This window comes from Homo sapiens, chromosome 13, assembly GCF_000001405.40.
Source record: "Homo sapiens chromosome 13, GRCh38.p14 Primary Assembly".
NCBI lineage: Eukaryota > Metazoa > Chordata > Mammalia > Primates > Hominidae > Homo > Homo sapiens.
The window spans coordinates 34,611,944-34,630,253 of NC_000013.11; the positions used below are offsets into that span (position 1 = coordinate 34,611,944).

General features: G+C 40.1%; 2 long non-coding RNA genes across 2 annotated transcripts in view, besides 1 other annotated feature; one reads left to right on the plus strand and one right to left on the minus strand.

Annotated features, from left to right (window-relative positions):
* Nucleotides 1-4,349, plus strand: part of LINC02343 (long intergenic non-protein coding RNA 2343) — a 268,250-nt gene extending 263,901 nt beyond the window's left edge. Inside the window, exon 4 of the long non-coding RNA NR_146542.1 lies at nt 1,969-4,349. This is a non-coding gene — a long non-coding RNA (long intergenic non-protein coding RNA 2343). The remainder of the gene's footprint in view (nt 1-1,968) is intronic.
* The window catches only part of LINC00457 (long intergenic non-protein coding RNA 457), a 205,236-nt gene that overhangs the window by 176,494 nt on the left and 10,432 nt on the right, over nt 1-18,310 (minus strand). The gene's annotated exons all lie outside the window — the stretch shown is intronic.
* Nucleotides 10,196-11,395: an enhancer, noted in NCBI's record as "CDK7 strongly-dependent group 2 enhancer chr13:35196276-35197475 (GRCh37/hg19 assembly coordinates)". NCBI's record gives its function as "activates an origin of replication core promoter dependent on BRD2, BRD4, P300/CBP, MED14 and CDK7 cofactors, with strong dependence on CDK7, by STARR-seq in HCT116 cells {active_cell/tissue: HCT116}" and the evidence as "EXISTENCE:reporter gene assay evidence [ECO:0000049][PMID:35650434]".

Below are 18,310 nucleotides of genomic sequence, written 5' to 3' on the forward strand. Positions count from 1 at the left end.
AGAGGTTGACTAAATAAACATTGAGTTGAAAAGTATAGGCTAGAAAGATTACTCCTATCCAACACAAATAAAAATGAGCATCTAGAATTCAGTGCAGTTATTCTGCTCCTTACAAAACCCAAGGTAATTTCTTTTTCCTAAAGAATAACACTTTCATTTCACGGCTAAAACGTTTTCTTAGAAATTTGCCACCAACTGGGCTATATTTGGGAATTCTGAGTGACAAGGAAGGGACAAGATTCCCCTTCTGGGCCCAACAACAATCATTAATATAAACATGAAGTACAAAGAGTTCCCTTGTTTTCTTCTGCCTGGGTTTCTTGACACAGACTGGCCAGACATAGCAAGTCAGTTTCCATCGCATCTTGCTATTAGATGAGCCCAAGTCAAGAAACACCCTCTCAACACATTGCTTCCTGGAGGCCTAGAGAAATTTCCTTAGCTGTGTACTTTTTAGCTCTGCCCAATTCCCCAAGTCTCCAACTCCTTCAATCTCTTAAAGTTTAGGGATAGTAACTACCATTAGTGTTTTACTGACAGTTTTATATTCAGGTAGTGATTTAAGTTTTTTTTTTTTAATCTTTCGATTGTTAGGGCAGTTAGGGCCGTAACAAAGTGCCATAATAAAGTACCACAGGCTGGGGGGCTTAAACAACAGAAATTTATTTTCTCATAACTCTGAAGGTCAGAAGTCCAAAATCAAGATGGCGGCACAGTGGTTTCTTCTACGACCTCTCTCCTTGGCTTAAAGATGGCTATTTTTTGCCAGTATCTTCTCACGGTGCTTATCAGTGTCCTAATCTGTTTTTCTTGTAAGGCCACCAGTCATGTTGGATTAGAGCCCACTCTATGACCTCATTTTACCTCAACTATCTCTTTAAGAGCCGTGTTTCTAAATATAGTCACATTCTGAGGTACTGGGGGTTAGGACTTCAGCATGTCAATGTGGGGAGCACACAATTCAGCCCAGGTATGGTCTCATTTTATAGACCAGGAACCTAAAATTCAATAAAGAAAACTGAATTGCCAAGCTCACTCAGCCATTAGGTGATGTCGCTAAGATTGGACTTAGCTCTGAATTCAAATGGCATGCCATTACAGCCTGCAGCCACTCCAATAACTAACTCGTGTTTAACTTCTCAACGTTTACATGTGACACATCATCTCATTGAATCTCCTGAGAAAAGCAAATCAGATTTACCTTGGACTCATTTGGCCATCTCTACTCTTATATATCTCTGCTTTGAAAGCCTGGGGGCAGGAGAGGAAGTTCTAGAATCCTCTCGCAGCCTACTCTTTACCCACAACCTTTCCCCACTAGCTGAACTTCGTGATTTTGGGGATGCTAGAGGACAATCTGACCAAAACTTGACTCTCAAAGGGGTCCCAAATGTTGGCTGCAGCTAAGAAGCAAATTTGCCCAAGATAGTGGCAGGGTGAGGATTCATCACCAATGTTGATCCCAACTGATCTCTGTCAAACCTCAGGTGCTAACCAAATCTGAGAGTAGACAGATGGACCCAAGGATGAGGGGTTGAAAGACGAACATGTGTTCCTGAATCCCTGGTAGAGTTGGCCCAAGAGGAAACATACTATTCCCATCATTTCAAAGTACCTAAATGGGCCTTGTATTTTAAATACCAAGAGTACTATTTTCTTAGAAGATTAAAAAGAAATGTTAACAAAAGTATTTGAATGCTCACTGACAGTTTCTTCTAAGGAAGAATAAAGCAAAAGTGTATTGCTAGTGACTATGTGTTTGGTGCTTGCAGAACTTTTTCTATGTGTGCCTACACAGAAACAAGGAGACCTTAATTCAAGTGCCTGGTACTAATGTTAGTGAAGAAATCAGTACATCTCTCTGAGCCTCAATTCTCTTACCTACGGGCTGGATGAGATGATCTTTAATGTTCTTATAGGTCTAAGCTTTTATGCACAAACCCAACTTTTGTCTTTTTTTCTTTTCAGCTTTCTCCTCACCAACTCTTCAAAGATCCAGTTGATACAAAATGCACATGCTAAAATATGATTCCCCAGTCCTGTCCAAGCTGATGTGGTCTTCTCCAAGCCCCCAGTCCTGACCAAGCTGAATCTCCTTTGTCACTCATGGGGCAACAGGGACTTACCTGCCAGTGCAGGAGAAAGGAGAGATCCTTTAGAACAGGAGCTAAGATGCCAGGAGCTCACGCAAAATGCTTGAAGAAAGGGGCTTAGCCAGAAACCGAACTGGGAGTTGATGCCCAGTTTAGGAAGAGTTCAAATCGAGGAGTCAGAAGCAGCAAATTCTACATCAGATCCACAAATTCTTAACTAGAAGAATAAAAACAAGTCAAATCAAGTTGGGCTCAAAAGGAATATAGGGGCAGAAGAGGTGATGTGCAGATGGGTGTGCCTGGCCAAATGGTGGGGGTAGGCACAGGCAGCACACACCATTGATTTCTTTGCTTCCTTTTTTAAAGATTTTATTTTTAAGAGCAGTTTCAGGTTCAAAGCAAAGTTAGAAGTACCAAGATTTTTTCCATATACCCCTGTCCCTACATATGCATAGCCCCCTCATTATCAAAATCCCCTATCAGAGTGTAATAAATGACAATGAACCTACGTTGGACGCATCATAATCACGTAAAGTCCTGGTGTACATTAGCTTTCACTCTTGGTGTTGTACATTCTATGAATTCGGACAAATGTGTAATGGCATGTGTCCACTGTTATGGTATCATACAGAGCACTTTCACTGCCACAAAAATTTTCTGCTCTCTGCCTATAGTTGGGGATCAGAAACCAATACCCCAAAATATGGCATTTTGACATGCTGAACTGAAGAAGCTTTAATGTCTCTCTGACCTTCCTTCTTCTGCCCCACCTTCTTTCCCAAAACCTAGGATTATCTTGTTCCCTTATCTGCTTAAAGTCCGAACCTGCCAAAGAAGAAAACAATGACCTCTGCACCCTTCCCTGAGTTTCCATTAACTGAACCTAGATTCCAGGAAGAAAGATTGAAGTCTGTCAACACACCTGGACAGACTTTTATCACAAACCATTGTCCACTCTGCTAACCCAACAGATTTTGTCCCAGACAACTGTATTCTCTTCAAGCCCATTGAATTCTCCCTAGGAATCATGCATTGCCCCTCAACAGAATTCCTCTTGTCCCTACTCACATAGTTTGCTTTGCCGGGATCCTAAGATTTCTTGGAAAACCTTAGGACCAGGAGGTATTCTTGTGGACTCATTCTGTTTTTCTGTAACCTCAAGATGGTGTATAAGCTTCTGCCCCCTAATCGGGGGTTGGAGTAATCACTGTGTCTCCTGTGTGAAAGTAAACACATTTGTATGCCCTTTTCCCAATTAATCTACCTTCTGTGAGTTGATTTTTTAGCGAAACTTCAGAGGGCTCTTTGACTCCTACACTATTTATCCCTCCCCCTCCCTTCAGCCCCTAACAACCACTGATCTTCTTACTGCCTCCACAGTTTTACCTTTTCCAGAAGGTCATATAGTTGAAATATTACAGTCCGTTACCTTTTCAGATTAGCTTCTGTCACTTAGTAATATATATTTAAGATTCCTCCATGTCTTTTCATGGCTTGATAGTTCATTTCTTTTCAGTATTAAATGATATTCCATTGTTTGATGTACCACAATTTATCCCTTACCTACTGAAGGAATACCTGGTTGTTTCCAAGATTTACCTGGCCACCTATGGAATACTGTAGTTTCCAAAACTGGCCATAAGATATTTCCTACTATTCTTGCATATTGCAGTTGCATAAGAATTGCGTCCTAAGATTTTCCAGAAATTTGGCACTTCTCCATCAAGACATGGATTCTACTTCCTCTTCCCTTAAGTCTAGGCAGATTTGTGACTGGTAACCACAGAGCATGGTAGAAATTACACGGAGTGATTTCTGAGGTTATAAATGATGAAGCTCATCTACCTCACAGGAACATAGGCATTGAGTCCTGAGCCACCAAGCAAGTGTCCAACTACTCTGAAACTGCCATGTGGTGAGGAAGCCCAAACTTGATGTGATTTCACCTCTTCTGCCCCTATTCCTTTTGTGCCCAACTTGATTTGACTTGCTTTTATTTTTCTAGTTAAGTGAAAAGATAGCAAGGGGAAGCACTGAAGCTGCATCGTGAGCGAGAGATGCCCAGCCACCAGGCAGCTGCTCCACCCACCTCACCCTCAGCCTACTTTCCTCCACCCTCAACCTTGTACTTTTGTTGCTCCAACCACTGTCTGGTTACAATCAGAGGAGAGATTCCAAGACAGTAGCACCCAGCTAAACCCTTCCTGAATTCGCAACTCACAAAAGTTATAAAAGACAATAAAATGACTGTTCTTTAAGTTATATGTTTTGAAGTGAATTATTATTCAGCAACAAATAACCCATAACATCATCCTTTTTTCCTCACCTCCACTTCCCAGTTTTGCCTCCAGTCTGAGTACTTAAAGTTAGGCCTACAAATCCAGTCCTTTCCCTTCAAAGGAAACTTATTATAAACTGAGGCATCCAGAAAAAGGCTGTCATGAGGTTTTAATGTCATTCTCTGCTCTCTTCATTAAGATATAAATAACCCTGGTATAATTTTTTCCTCTTGTTTAGATGCAAATATACTTAAGAACTGAACTCTCCCAGTTGTTTATAATTGCATCCATACCATAATCCCAAAACAATTTTAAAAAGAGAATAAAATTAATTATTTATTGGTTTTATATTTTTCTCCTGCTGGAATCCATTAAACCAACCATTTTTTATTGAGTTTCTCATTTGGAGAAGGAGATGATTTGTCTTGTTTTTACATTTTCCTTTGTTCTTATCTTGGCAATTAACTATTGGATGATTTGTTAATTAGATAACTGACATCCAAAGGCACTTCATTCATTAAAAAAGTAAAATAATAACAGCTCATCATCTAGGGAAAGATGCAGAGGAAAAATGATCAATTTTTAACATCGTGGTCGATGTAGGTAGTTGAACTTGAATATGTTTACCAAACAACTAAATGCAGACCAATGCTTTTGGAAGCTAACTTTAACATGAATAAACTTGGTTATCCTAATTGCCCTTAGGAAATGACAGCACATGTTTAATAAGAAGGAAAAAAGTAGAGTGGCTTTTCAGTGTGACTCTTTCCTATGACATTTCTTACCCCACTTTTAGCGGAATCAACTAAAATCATACGAAAAGAAATCATGCCTTTTAAACTTGTCTAGTTAGTTCTTTATAACTCAGAGAAGCACCACTATTCAAAGTATTTTCAGCTTCAAAAAAAAAATCCCCACCCTCAAAAAATATTTGTTTACCCTTGAAATTGTTTTTGCTATCACCACATGAATTCTGAAGAAAGGTTTGATTATATTGTTAAATCAGTGTTGATTTAAACATGGATCGACCTCCCACATAGCCACCATATCTGAGTTGTTGCTAGAACTGAAAGAAACTGGAAGGAAATGATCAAAATTTCCCTAAAAGCACTAACCATCCCTTTGCACAAATTGCCCTGGTAGGAAAAATCTCAGTCCCGCCTACCCTAATGTGAACTAATTTGGTCTACAGTGACACAGAGAAGGCACACATAAGGAGACATTTTCCAATGTTTAGAATTCTTTTCACTGCTATAGAAAGCATCTTGCTATAGTAAGAAAAAGGCCAAAGATCTGCCTTACACAGCTCGGGATCTTTCTCCTTTGGCCTTAGCATTTGGGGCTGGAGATACTATTTGTGGAATGAGGCTGAGGAAATGAGCCAAAATGAATTTCAGGCTTGCCAGAGCTTACAATCTTAATGTAAATTCAACAATTAGCAATGCCTCAGCTGTGAAAGCTGGAAAAAATTCCACACATCAGATGGTGAGAGAGGCTCCTTGGAAAAATCATTTCCATTTTACTGTTGTTATGCGGTCATGTCCTCGCTCAACTAACCTTGAAAGCAGACCTGAACCCTATGAGTCATCGACTCACAAAGATGCCCCCAGAAAGGTAACGTCCTTATTCGGGCAAAGTAGAACTATGAAACTGTACAAAGTTATGCAGGGAAAGAGATTTAAAATATGATATGATATGAGGTACAGGATGTATCATCAGCTTCAAAAACTGCTGAGGTTAATGGACATTGTTGGATGCCAAGAGGATCCAATTAAATTAAGATACTTCTTATAAGAATCAACAGCTCTAACATGTCCTTGTCAGCCTAAAGCTTATAGCAGGTGTGATCCTGTAATATGACTCTTTTTGGTTTGTTTCCTGAAGTTTTTCAAGAAGGCAGAAAACACACATTACACACCATGGAGTCAATAGCTGCCTGCCCCCAGCAAAACGTGGGTCTCCTTCCCTCATTTCCCCACCTTGGTGTTTTTCTAAAGAGGAAGAAAAATGTAAATGTGCATGTGCATATTTCATCATCCAATTGGAAAGAATATAATGATATGGGAACTTGAGGGAAAGACCTGAAATTCTAAGGACTTCACATGCTAAACACAATTACTTACTCTCTGGGGGGTTTTCCCCAAAAATCATTCACCCTTATTTTCATTGTTGGTCATTATAGATGATGCAAACTTTGTGACCATCCTCAAAACCAAGGACCGTGTTCTGTTTCAACCTCTTAATCAATTATACATCACACCCAGTCTGAGAGTAAATCTTGCTAGTTCCCTCAAACTTTCTTCTTCATGACTTTTCCTCATTCCTTCATATCATAAAATACCCCCATTTTCTATATTAAACTCTGTTCTGAGTGCGGATCAAACACGATCAATATTTTAATACAAATGTCCCCCAATTTTTCTCCATCAAACATCCATTCAGCTTATATCTTAGTTTGGATTTCCCCCCAAGCAGAGCCTGAGAAAGAATTCAGGTGCAAGTAGTTTATTTGGGAAGTGATCCCAGGAAGCACCTGGGCACTCTGGGGAAGCCAGACAAGGAAGGGAGGAAAGCAAGTGAAATTCCTACTGTGGGCAACCGTGCTGAGATCCAACTGGGGACCTTCTAAAATACCACACTTCACATCCCAGATTGTCCCACCAAGGCACATTCATCTACCAACTCGTGTTCCACGTTGTTGGGGGATTACTTGCAAGACTTCTTGATTCTGCAGAGCTTCCAGCCTGCACGGTGCACAGGCAAGGGTGCACTCCTGTGGCCAGAGAACGTCCTCTGGCAAAATGGTTAGGGAGTACCCACTAAAGCTGCAAGTGATCTTCAGAGAGGACTGAGTGGACACAGGCAAGGCTCCCCCAATGATGCCTGCTACCTACTGCCTGTGCCTGAACCAGGCAAATGCTGGGCTATACACACAATGGGTAGTTTTGTTTGTTGAATGAATATTCAGATATATATTCTCTCCCCTTTGATTCTCTAACTGAATTATGATTCCTATTTGTATCTTCCCTCAGATAGAACCTTTAACCCAATCATTCATTTACCCATCTTTTAATCTGTACAGAAAGCTTCCTGTCTCCATTCTGCAAATACTTGTTTTGAACCCAATTATCTCAGAGCTCTTCTCTCTCTTATGCACTGTCAAGACGATTTACTTCAAATGAGCAAAGAGCTCCAGCTCATGGCCCCTGCTTTTGAATCTCAGAAAAAGAAACGGATATCTTTCTCAACCACAGGGCTGTATCGTCAGTCTTTTTCGGAAGTTTGAAAAATGTTTAATTATTTCAGATTCGCATTATGTTCACATCTATTTACATAAGTAAAAAGGAAATGTGTTCTTTTATATTAGCCTCTTATTCAATCAGCAAATAAGGGCAAAAAATTTCACCACAGCAAATTCTGTTGATTTTATATTTAAATCACAATTGTTTCTTTGTAAAAGAGCTTGTAGTAAAGTCCATACAGAACTAGAAAGAATCATGTGCCAAAAAATGCGAGCTGCCATCCAGAAACTCATTTTGTTTTCCATATGAGATATTAACTATTGATTTCTCTTTTTCCTATCACAACATCCTGTTCTTACAACCTGGGGTGCCCCTTAATCCTTATTTGTGGAGACTGTAACACTTTATCAACCCTCAAAAGATTTTTCTATCTGAGAGTGATTTTTTTAGTGTCACTAGTATATCTAAGTATTTTGGTGCTGTAAACGTGTGTGTTGGGGATTCAGGGATGTCATTTCTCACCCTCTGACACGGCCTAAGTACTACATTTTCTTACAGGTTGGAGAAATAGCCTTAAGGCTATTGATGGGAGTGTCCTGTAGGGTCTCTTGTCTGGCTCATATTTGCAATGAACCTGCCTTTAGACTGCAGCGATAAAAAGGACATAATCCTTAAGTGATTCATAATCCTTAAGAGAAGCTCCACCAATTTATGTGGCAGGCCTCAATCTCATGTGAAGATTTAATGAGAACCACATGCAGTCAAAAGTATACCCTGCATCTGTTACAGCAGACAGCTCTGCAAAAGCAGAGCAATACCTCGTGTGAAGACGATCTAGTCAGACATTTTAACTGACAGCAATGACCCTAACAGAGAACCTGGGGGAAAGAGAAACAAAAAAATAAAAAAGATAACCAGTGCAGCAAATATTGATCCATTATATGCTTTCTGGTAATTTCTGAATATTCCCCAAAAGAAAAGCAAGACATGGATAATTTATGTGCCTATTGAAAGTAATTTTCCAAGCATGAATGGCTGAAGGATTGTAATTTCTTTCCCCCCAGTCATTATAGGTCTCCCTGAGGTCATACAAATAACCAGCATCCTTTCATCCTAAACACCGCTAAGCCCAGGTTGAGATATGAGCCTATTAAAATTCGGTTTGAAGAAGAATTTTATTTTGCCGATGATCTCATTTATTAATTGCTGACTGCCTCTTAAAACCTTCAGTGGAAGACAAAGAGACCTTCAAATCCTTTCTCTGAGAATTAAAGCTTTCATTTAAGGATTCCAGATGGGTTGTATTTAGGTATTAAAGTTCAAGTACTTTAACCACCAAAAGATAAAAAGAATTTTACCCAGTTTTGTTCCACAATTGCCACCCAGTATTTCTTCAGTCCTGGCCAAACTGAGCATCAATTTAAATTAGATTTACTCACGGGACCCTCTGTAATCACAATCAACACAAGATATTAGGGAGTTTAGGGAAGGGGCCTATTAAATGACAATTAAAGCTGTCAGTCTTCCAGAGCTTATTTTCAGTTAATTTGATCCTAGTAGACAGTCATATTGGACTGCTGTAAACAAAGAGGCTTGCTTTACAATACAAGCTGAGATCCAGAGCTGGCTGCCTGAAACCTGGTGAAGGTGCAGGCTTCACTTTGGCCTTAAGATGGCTTCATCTGTTCCTCTGAATAAATGACTTCAAAATCACTTCAACTGTTTAAATGCTCCTGAAAGTCCTAACGCTCACCAAAGAAGAGTTTAACTGGCACATTTCAGAGAAAGGAGTCAGCAATGAGGTTCTGGGTACTGATTGGCATTTCCTTTTGATGTGAAGTCTCATGGAAATTATTTAGGACTAGGTGTTCTCCATCCTGCATATAGGCAATAGTAAAGAGAGCGCTTTGCACCTAGAATGTGCCTGAAATCGCCTATCAAAAGTCTTAGGTTATCCACACCCTTTAATGCAGTGCTTTCATCTTCAGGGGTTTATCCTGAAGAAACAATCAGATAATTATGCAGATGCATGAACAAATATGTTTGCTGCAGTATTACATGTAGACAAGATGTAAAGCAGGCTTGCTTTTGTGACTCCTCCTGCCTCATTCTCCTTAAGCCACCCCAAACCCCGTATCATTTTTCTCCACCATAAAAACCTCTTCAGTGTCACTGTCCTCTTAGGCATTTACCTGGAGAGTGGTGTCCTACACAGGTTAAAAATTCCAGGACCTGGGCATTTCTCCATTCCACCCTCGGGTTCATACTCTCTACAGTCCTCAAGGCTAGAAAAACAGAAACTTTTTTTATATATTTTTATACTAAGGTGTTCATGGATTAACATTGCTTCTACTAGGTAGTGTTTTATGTTGTAAAATGAGATCTTCCTAAAGACAAGACTTTAAACCAAAAATGGGAATTTCAGGCTCCACATAAGCCCAGCAATAAGGATGTTTGTAGTTTAAAATTCTTTTTAAAAATATCTTTTCAGTGTGTGGGTGTGTGTCTTAGTTTATTTGTTATGTTTCATTATGAAAAGATATTCATGCTTATTATAGAAAATGTGGGAAATGAAAGGAGAAAGGAAGACAAAATTCATCCATATTCCCACCATGCAGAAATAGCATTTTGAACATTCTATTGTGTTTCCTTTCAGTCTTGGTAATATGCATAAATGTTTGTTTTTTCTGTGGAGTCATAATTATAGTATATGTACCATTCTGAATTTTTTATTTTGCACAGTTATGGAAAAATATCAGAATAGTTCTACCCTAGTAAGGCTTTCCATGGGGCCACACTTTACAGTAGTTCACTATTTCACTCTTTCTTCACGCATCAATTTACTTGCCAAGGATACTTTAAAAGCATTTGCCTCCTCTTTATGGACATCCCATTCACTCCCATCTCTATATTACATTGGAAATCTTCACCGTACCTAGCTGGTAAGTAAATTTCTCCAAATGAACATTTCAGAGGCATTTAAACCAGAGCAACTCCACCTTGAATAGGAGCTGGGTAAAATGAGGCTGAGACCTACAGGGTTGCATTCCCAAGAGGTTAAGGCATTCTTAGTCACAGGATGAGATAGGAGGTCAGCAGGAGATACAGATCATGAAGACCTTGCTGATAAAACAGGTTGTAATAAAGAAGCCAGATAAACTCCACCCAAACCAAGTGGCGATGAGCGTGACCTCTGGTTGTCCTCAATGCTACACTCCCACCAGAGCCATGCCTGTTTACAAATGCTATGGGAATGTCAGGATTTTACCCTATATGGTCTAAAAAGAAAAGGCGTGAGTAATCCAACCATTGCTTAGCATATAATCAAGAAATAACCATAAAAATGGGCAACCAGCACCTTATGCTGCTGCTCTGCCTATGGAGTAGCCATTCTTTATTCCTTTGCTTTCTTAATAAACTTGCTTTCACTGTACTCTATGGACTCGCACCAAATTCTTTTTTTTTTTTTTTTTTTAGACTGCGTTTAGCTCTTGTCACCCAGGCTGGAGTGCAAAGGTGCGATCTCAGCTCACCGCAACCTCCGCCTCCTGGATTCAAGCAATTCTCCTGCCTCTGTCTCCCAAGTAGCTGGGATTACAGCCGCCCACCACCACTCCCGGCTAATTTTTTGTATTTTTAGTAGAGACAGGGTTTCGCCATGTTGGGCAGGCTGGTCTCAAACTCCTGACCTCAGGTGATCCACCTGCCTTGGCTTCCCAAAGTGCTGGGATTACAGGCATGAGCCACCGCCCCCGGCCCCCAAATTCTTTCTTGTGCAAGATCCAAGAACCCTCTCCAGGGGTCTGGATGGAGACCCCTTTCCGGTAACAAAATCACTCAAATTCAGTTCTGGAACAGGGAAAGAACTGGAGTGTGTTTAAACAATGTAGATGCAGCTGATGCCTAGCAGGAGGACACAGGCTACAAAAGGCCACCCCAGCAGGAGGGCCGGGTCACAGCAATCCTGGTGAGAGCCTCCACTGCCGCAGCTCTCCTCTGGGGCTGTTTAGGACAGCACCCTGCTGCCCACCTGAGACTCAGCCTCTGCTTCCCAGTCACTTTGGGCACCACAGGAAGCCCCTGTGATAACACCCACAGGCTCTAAAAACTGTGTTCTCGGTATCCCTGAGGACAGCTCATTTCTGCCACCAAAAATATACTGTCCCCCTGCTCCCTCACCCCTCTTCACTCAAGAACATGGACTGAAGGTGTAAGGCGGGCGTAGGAGCCCTACAGTTGTTTATGATTTGGTGAGCACATTCCCATTTCTATCTGGGCTATTTTTTTCCTAGTTTTTTTTTTTCCTTTTTTTTTTTTTTTTTTTTTTGAGATGGAGTCTCGCTCTGTTACCAAGGCTGGAGTGCGGTGGTGCTATCTCAGCTCACTGCAACCTCCACCTCCTGGATTCAAGTGATTCTCTTGCCTCAGCCTCCTGAGTAGCTGGGATTACTGGCATGCACCACCAGGCCCAGCCTTTTTTTTTTTTTTTTTTTTTTTGTATTTTTAGTAGAGATAGGGTTTCACCATGTTGATCAGGCTTGTCTCGAACTCCTGACCTCATGATCCACCCACCTCAGCCTGCCAAAGTGCTGGAATTATAGGCGTAAGCCACTGCACCCAGCCTTTTTTCCTAATTTTGCTACTGACCTTGTATAATCCCACTTGGTAACTGATAAATTATTTTGGTAATAGGCTCAGATTAAACGGATAAGGTGCAGCCAAATGTTTCTGAAGGAAACAAGGTGGGGAGATGCAACATTTTTAGTCAACCCAATAAGTCATACTTTTTGAATAATATTTAAAGAGGACACTAAAAGGAGAAGAAGACGGGAAGAGGTATGATGAGAATGAGGTAGACTTCAGCTGATATGAGTATCTTATTTGTAAATGGCATGTCATTGTATTAATGGATTTGAATTACATCAAACATTTCTATAAAGATTGGTTTGAATTAAATTTAAACATGTTATAAAGAGCCTTTTACTCATTGAGGGAAGCCTTAATAACGTTTACAAATAATTAATAAACACTTAGGAGGGCTATCAGATTTCTAGTAACTAACAATATGCTGATCTACCCAGAGACTTGGAAAGAGCTAGATTCACAATGTATGATGACCGACCACCATGTTTGCTGCCCTTCACATGAGAGACTATGTACACAGCATAGTGAGAACACTGGGAAAAATGGCTCCTTCTCCTCACCTAGCAACTGTTAACCCCCTTGGCAGCAAGTGGGGTGCTCAGAAATGGCTTACGAAGCAAAAACTGCTTCTCAAAGGAGATTCAGGGGACTGGGGGAAATGGGATTCCCAAGAAGTCAGAGCTTTCTTCTGAAGTCTTGGCCATGAAGTCATTCAACTGGCTGTCATGACTCTTTTCATTCTCCAATCCAGGTGTATTTAGTCTTCTAATAAAAACAGAGGAAAGAGGTACCCAAATTAGAATAAAAGGGCAGAGGAAGCTGAAATGGTCAACAATATGCATTGTCACCCTGCTAAATGACTTGTCAGGTACATAGCTCAGTAGAGTGAAAAGAATGGTGTGTTTATTTTTCCATGTTCTTATGTAGTCAGAAGAAATTCAGGAAATGAAATAGAATCTCCGTTTTTAAAACAACTAATTACCATCTTATTTAATTTTTTACAGATATACTGAATAAGGTTTTCCTGCCTCTACAGGTTTTTCTTCATGAAGAGTTCGCTGTTAGAGACGTTGCTGCACATCTACCTGGTGAAGGCATAATTTTATCACTCTTATAATTAATTGCTTTATAGGATGAATTGACCTCTTCAGTTTTTGTAAAAATGATGCATTTATATGTTTTATCACAGTAAAAAAAAAATCAAAATAACATGATGTACTGAAAAAGCATGAAGAGATGCCTCAAATCTATTTTTAAAATTCTGGGAAACCAGATATTTGGAGAAATTATTTGAATCACAGTGAAAAGACACATCATTTACTGGTTAAAAGTTGGCATGCTTTAATAACGCAACAGGGTTTATAGGTCGTGAGACCCTTCCACTAACCTTTCTAATGGCATAAAGTGTGTTCAGGGCTGCCATTTCCCAAAGGACTGAGGACTAAGCAGAGAAGAGCCAGTCTCTAATCATGGTCTAAAGACTTCAAAGAGGGTCATCTTCTGGCTTCTTTCTCTCTGCTCTGGTTCCCAGCAACCAGCCTTGCTGTAGATTTTCAGTATCTCTGAGGGAAGGACACCCACTCGATCACATTCATGTTCAGTTAATTTACTTTCTTTTTTTTTTCCTTTCTTTCTTTTTTTTAGAATCCAATGGCTATTAGCCCTTAGTGGAAACCATACAGCAGCAAAAGCCACAAAGGCAAGATAGATGGCTTTGCTATGTATCCTATAGATAGCATTACTTTTCTCAGATTCCAAACCTTATCCTGATTTCACCTTGATCCTTTGTAAAACTGTGCCTTGATTTTCACTTTGTGCTTTCAGGATAAAAGGATCTTAGGCCAAACCCAGCTTACCAATACTCCAGCACCCATTCTAAGTATGTGCTATCCTGGTACCTCTAGCATGGCACTCCTGGAGGTCAGACTATGTTTTCTCACCTTTTTACACCTGGGACTGGCATACTAGGCCTCAGTGAGTTTATAAAAGAAGGGAGAAGGGAAAGGAGGGAGGGAGAGGACTGGATCTAGACATATAGAATAAAATTTATTCAGTAAATTTTTGAAACAATATCTTTGTTCATGTATTATATATTTAATTTTTTCACCCAAGAAAAGAACATAAGAAAGTGCCAAAGATCACAAACTACAGTATTGATACCAGTAAAATAAAGACCAATCATAACAATAACAAAGTGGGATTTATACCTTAAAACTCTTTATTCTCACCCTGACATCCTAATTTTTTGTGGCATGTCTTTAAAATAATAGGCAGTGATCCCATTAATATTTTTCAACTGCAAAAGTCCAAAGATTTGAGTATGATAATGAGCATGATAAGAAACAGTATGTTTATTCAGTCTTGAAGGATCTCTCCACAACTTACTTATTTACAGCAAAGGGGAAAATAGTACCTTCACAGTGGCAGACACCACCTTAGCAAAGTGAGCAAAGCTAACATCACTAGCAGGTACATGTATCAACACCACATACTCCCTGATAAGACACACCAAGTCGGGAAGCTTGAGGTCAGGAGTTCAAAACCAGCCTGGCCAACAGAGTGAAACCCTGTCTCTAGTAAAAATACAAAAATTAACCGGGCGTGGTGGCACGTGCCTGTAGTCCCAGCTACTCGGGAGGCTGAGGCAGAAGAATCACTTGAATCTGGGAGGTTGAGGTTACAGTGAGCCGAGATCGCGCCACTGCACTCGAGTCTGGGCAACAAAGTGAGACTCCGTCTCAAAAAACAAAACAAAACAAAACAAAACAAAGATGCACCGAGTAGAGCACAGGATCACTATTGTCATATTCTTGCTGAAAACGCATAATCTGAATTTGATCATGAGGAAAACGCAGACAAATCCAAACAGAGGGAAAATTTACAAAACAACTAACTCTTATTTTTCACAAGTGTCATAAAAGTTCAAGAAAGACTGAGAAATTGTCCCAGAATGGAAGAGACTAAGAGGTTGGGGCAACTAAATGTGTGATCCTTCAGAAATTTTTGAATAAGGTCTATAGATTAGTTAATAGTAACATATCATGTTAATTTCCTGGTTTTGATCATTATATAAATATTATGTGTCATGCTAACATTTGGGAGGCTGGGTGAAAGGTATATTGGAATTCTTTGTACTATTCTACTACTTTGTTGTATGTCTGAAATTATTTTAAATAAATAGTTAAATTTTTTAAATTAAACAATTCTAAACATCTGGATATTAGATTTCAGTGCATATCTGTGAGCACTGAATCTGTGAGCATATTCTTGAGAAAAAGCAAATAAAGATTGTAAAGTTGCTGGTATTTACTTTACGTCAGTGGATAACAAACATTTTGTCATTTTAATTACAGACAGAAAGAGCTACAGAGAGTCAGAAAGACAACCTAAATTGGTATGTCTGCATTGACAAAGCAGATCAAAGGGAACCAGGGATGCATCTTAGAGCCACACCAAGGAGGCTGTCTCTGTCGCTGTCACAGCCTGTGCTACCAGAATCAAAGGCAGGCTTTTCTCTGATTGGTTAGGTCAGGCTGCTAATGAGGCAAAGGTCATGGATTAGATTCATTCTCAGGGCCGGTGAATGTCACTTTCTCCCTTGGCATTTTGCTGATCACAAGAGACCGAGGTGTAAAAGTTTGACTGCAACAGCAAGAGACCAGCCCTACTGTGGGAAAGAACTAAAACACCATCCCTAAGGTCACGTTTAAACATGATGGACACACTTGAATATAATCACTGTCACCTAAATGTGATTCTAAAAATAACTGCCCAGGAAAGGAATCCCTTATTAGATTCGCTTTCCTCTCTTCGACCTGTAATTAGGAGACCTGGAAGGGTGAGGCTGATTGGCCTCTGTGCAAGCCCAGACATTCTAGTGAGCCCCATTGCCTCTGTAGCAGAAGGGTGTGATGGCTTTGAAGGCTGTGCTCTCTGATTTAACAGCACTTACGCAGACACCAAAGTACACAAAGCATGAGGCTCCTCGCCTTCTCCTGACAGTTAGACATCTTTCAGCTTTCATATTCCAAAAATTTATTGAGAGGGGGCTCCATTCATAAAAATTATGTTCCTGAGTCTCATGTGTTTACTCGGAGAGCCTCCCTGACGTACTTAGGATTCCAAAGTGGGAGGTAAATATGTGCTGGAAAATTATCTATTCCAAATATCAGCGTGTTTTACAGCCAAAAGCAGCTAAGGAATCAGAAGAGGTTTCAACATATGATTAATTTTAGAATGGTAAACACACAGTGATTTGAAAGTAAATTTACTTACAGGGTGAAATACAAAACAAAGTTAGCAGGCTTCACTCGCTTCCACCTGCAGTTAGAACAATTAGATACACACTACACGAAAAGTTGTCTCTTGAGATTCTTTAAACACAAGGATTTGTAAATATAAGAAGTCAGGAAACAGGGAGGTGTCTCTGCAAAGCAATGCTGCCCACCTCTCCACTTTCTCCAATGAGCTGTGGATTTCCAGGTCTTCCCCAGCACTTTCAATCCAGGTAAGGATTGGAAATGTAAGACAAACCAAAAAGACTTTTTTTTTTTAAATCCCTCTTGCTCCTCCTGATATCAATGTACTCAATAGATCGCAGGGAAATTAGCTGTTTCACTGGGTTGAGACTTGTCAGAAGCTCCTCATAATAACAGAAACAAAATAAAATCTAGAAATGCATCTTCCAACTAAAATTTGTGAAACTGTGTTCCATCTCTGCTGGATAAAGCTGAGTGCAGCTACAGAAATCAATGTCAGAAAAACCAACAACTGTGGAGTAGAAAGAAAGTAAAATCCCTCAAGACTCTAGAGCCACTGGGTTGTAAATATTCTTAAACCCAGGCTTATAAGACACAGCTGCCAGCCCATATTATACTAAAATGGTTGTGTCATTTTCAGACGAAGCAATTCACATTTGACCACTGCATCTTAATCTATGATTCCCCAAAGGTGGACTTGAATAGACTGCTCTGTGTTTCTTCTTATAGATTTCTACCACCCAAAGAACAGACTAATTTTACATTTCTATCACTCAGTTCCTTTATAAGCTATACCAAACATAAGGAGTATATAGTCTAAATTATTTCCCTCCCTGGAAATATTTATAAAAGTTTATCTCACTTCACACACACATTTTGCAAGGAAAGGTTACCTATAACAGATTGGTGCATGAAATAATATACAACAATGTCCTGGCTCCAAGCAAAGCATGGAATATAATGAGAACTTACCTCCTAGTGAGGGCCCAGTCTCCCTGCACTGTAGGCTGAGCCCATGAGGGCATGTGTAGAATCACGTCTATTGTTGGAAAGACAGACAGAAAAGCAGTCCCCCATTCAGAGGCTGAACCCCTCCAACTGATTCACTTGACCCCCTTTTTGTTCATCCTTGTATTTGGGAATCACAAAGAATTTCTTTTCACAGTTTATTCGGCATATTTGCACCCAAAATCTCATGGAAAGTAAAGAGTGTGATGATCATTTTGTAGATGAGAAAACTGAGACTCAGGCAGAGGCGATCATGGTGACATAGCTAGTGCCTGCAGAACTGTGCAGCTACTCCTTGGTCCTAGAATCAAATTCTCTCTCTCAGGCCAGAGTTGCTCCACATCAGCATCACATTGTCTGTCCAATATCCTCAGTGTCTGTGTGTGCTGGCACCTTCCATCACCTCTCTTTTCCCTCAAAATCCACAACATGCACATTTGCCCAAAGAGCCCCTATTAATCATACTAAAATGTTACCTGAAACTGAATACTAAGATGTTACAGGAAAGGGGTCTGGATCCAGATGCCAAGAGAGGGTTCCTGGATCTCATGCAAGAAAGAATTCAGGGTGAGTCCCCAGTGCAAAGTGAACGGAAGTTTATTAAGAAAGTAAAGGAATAAAAGAATGGCTACTCCATAGACAGAGCAGCCCGAGGACTGCTGGTTGCCCATTTTTATGTTTATTTCTTGATGATATGCTAAACAAGGGGTGGATTATTCATGCCTCCCCTTTTTAGACCATATAGGGTAACTTCCTGACATTGCCATGGCATTTGTAAACTGTCA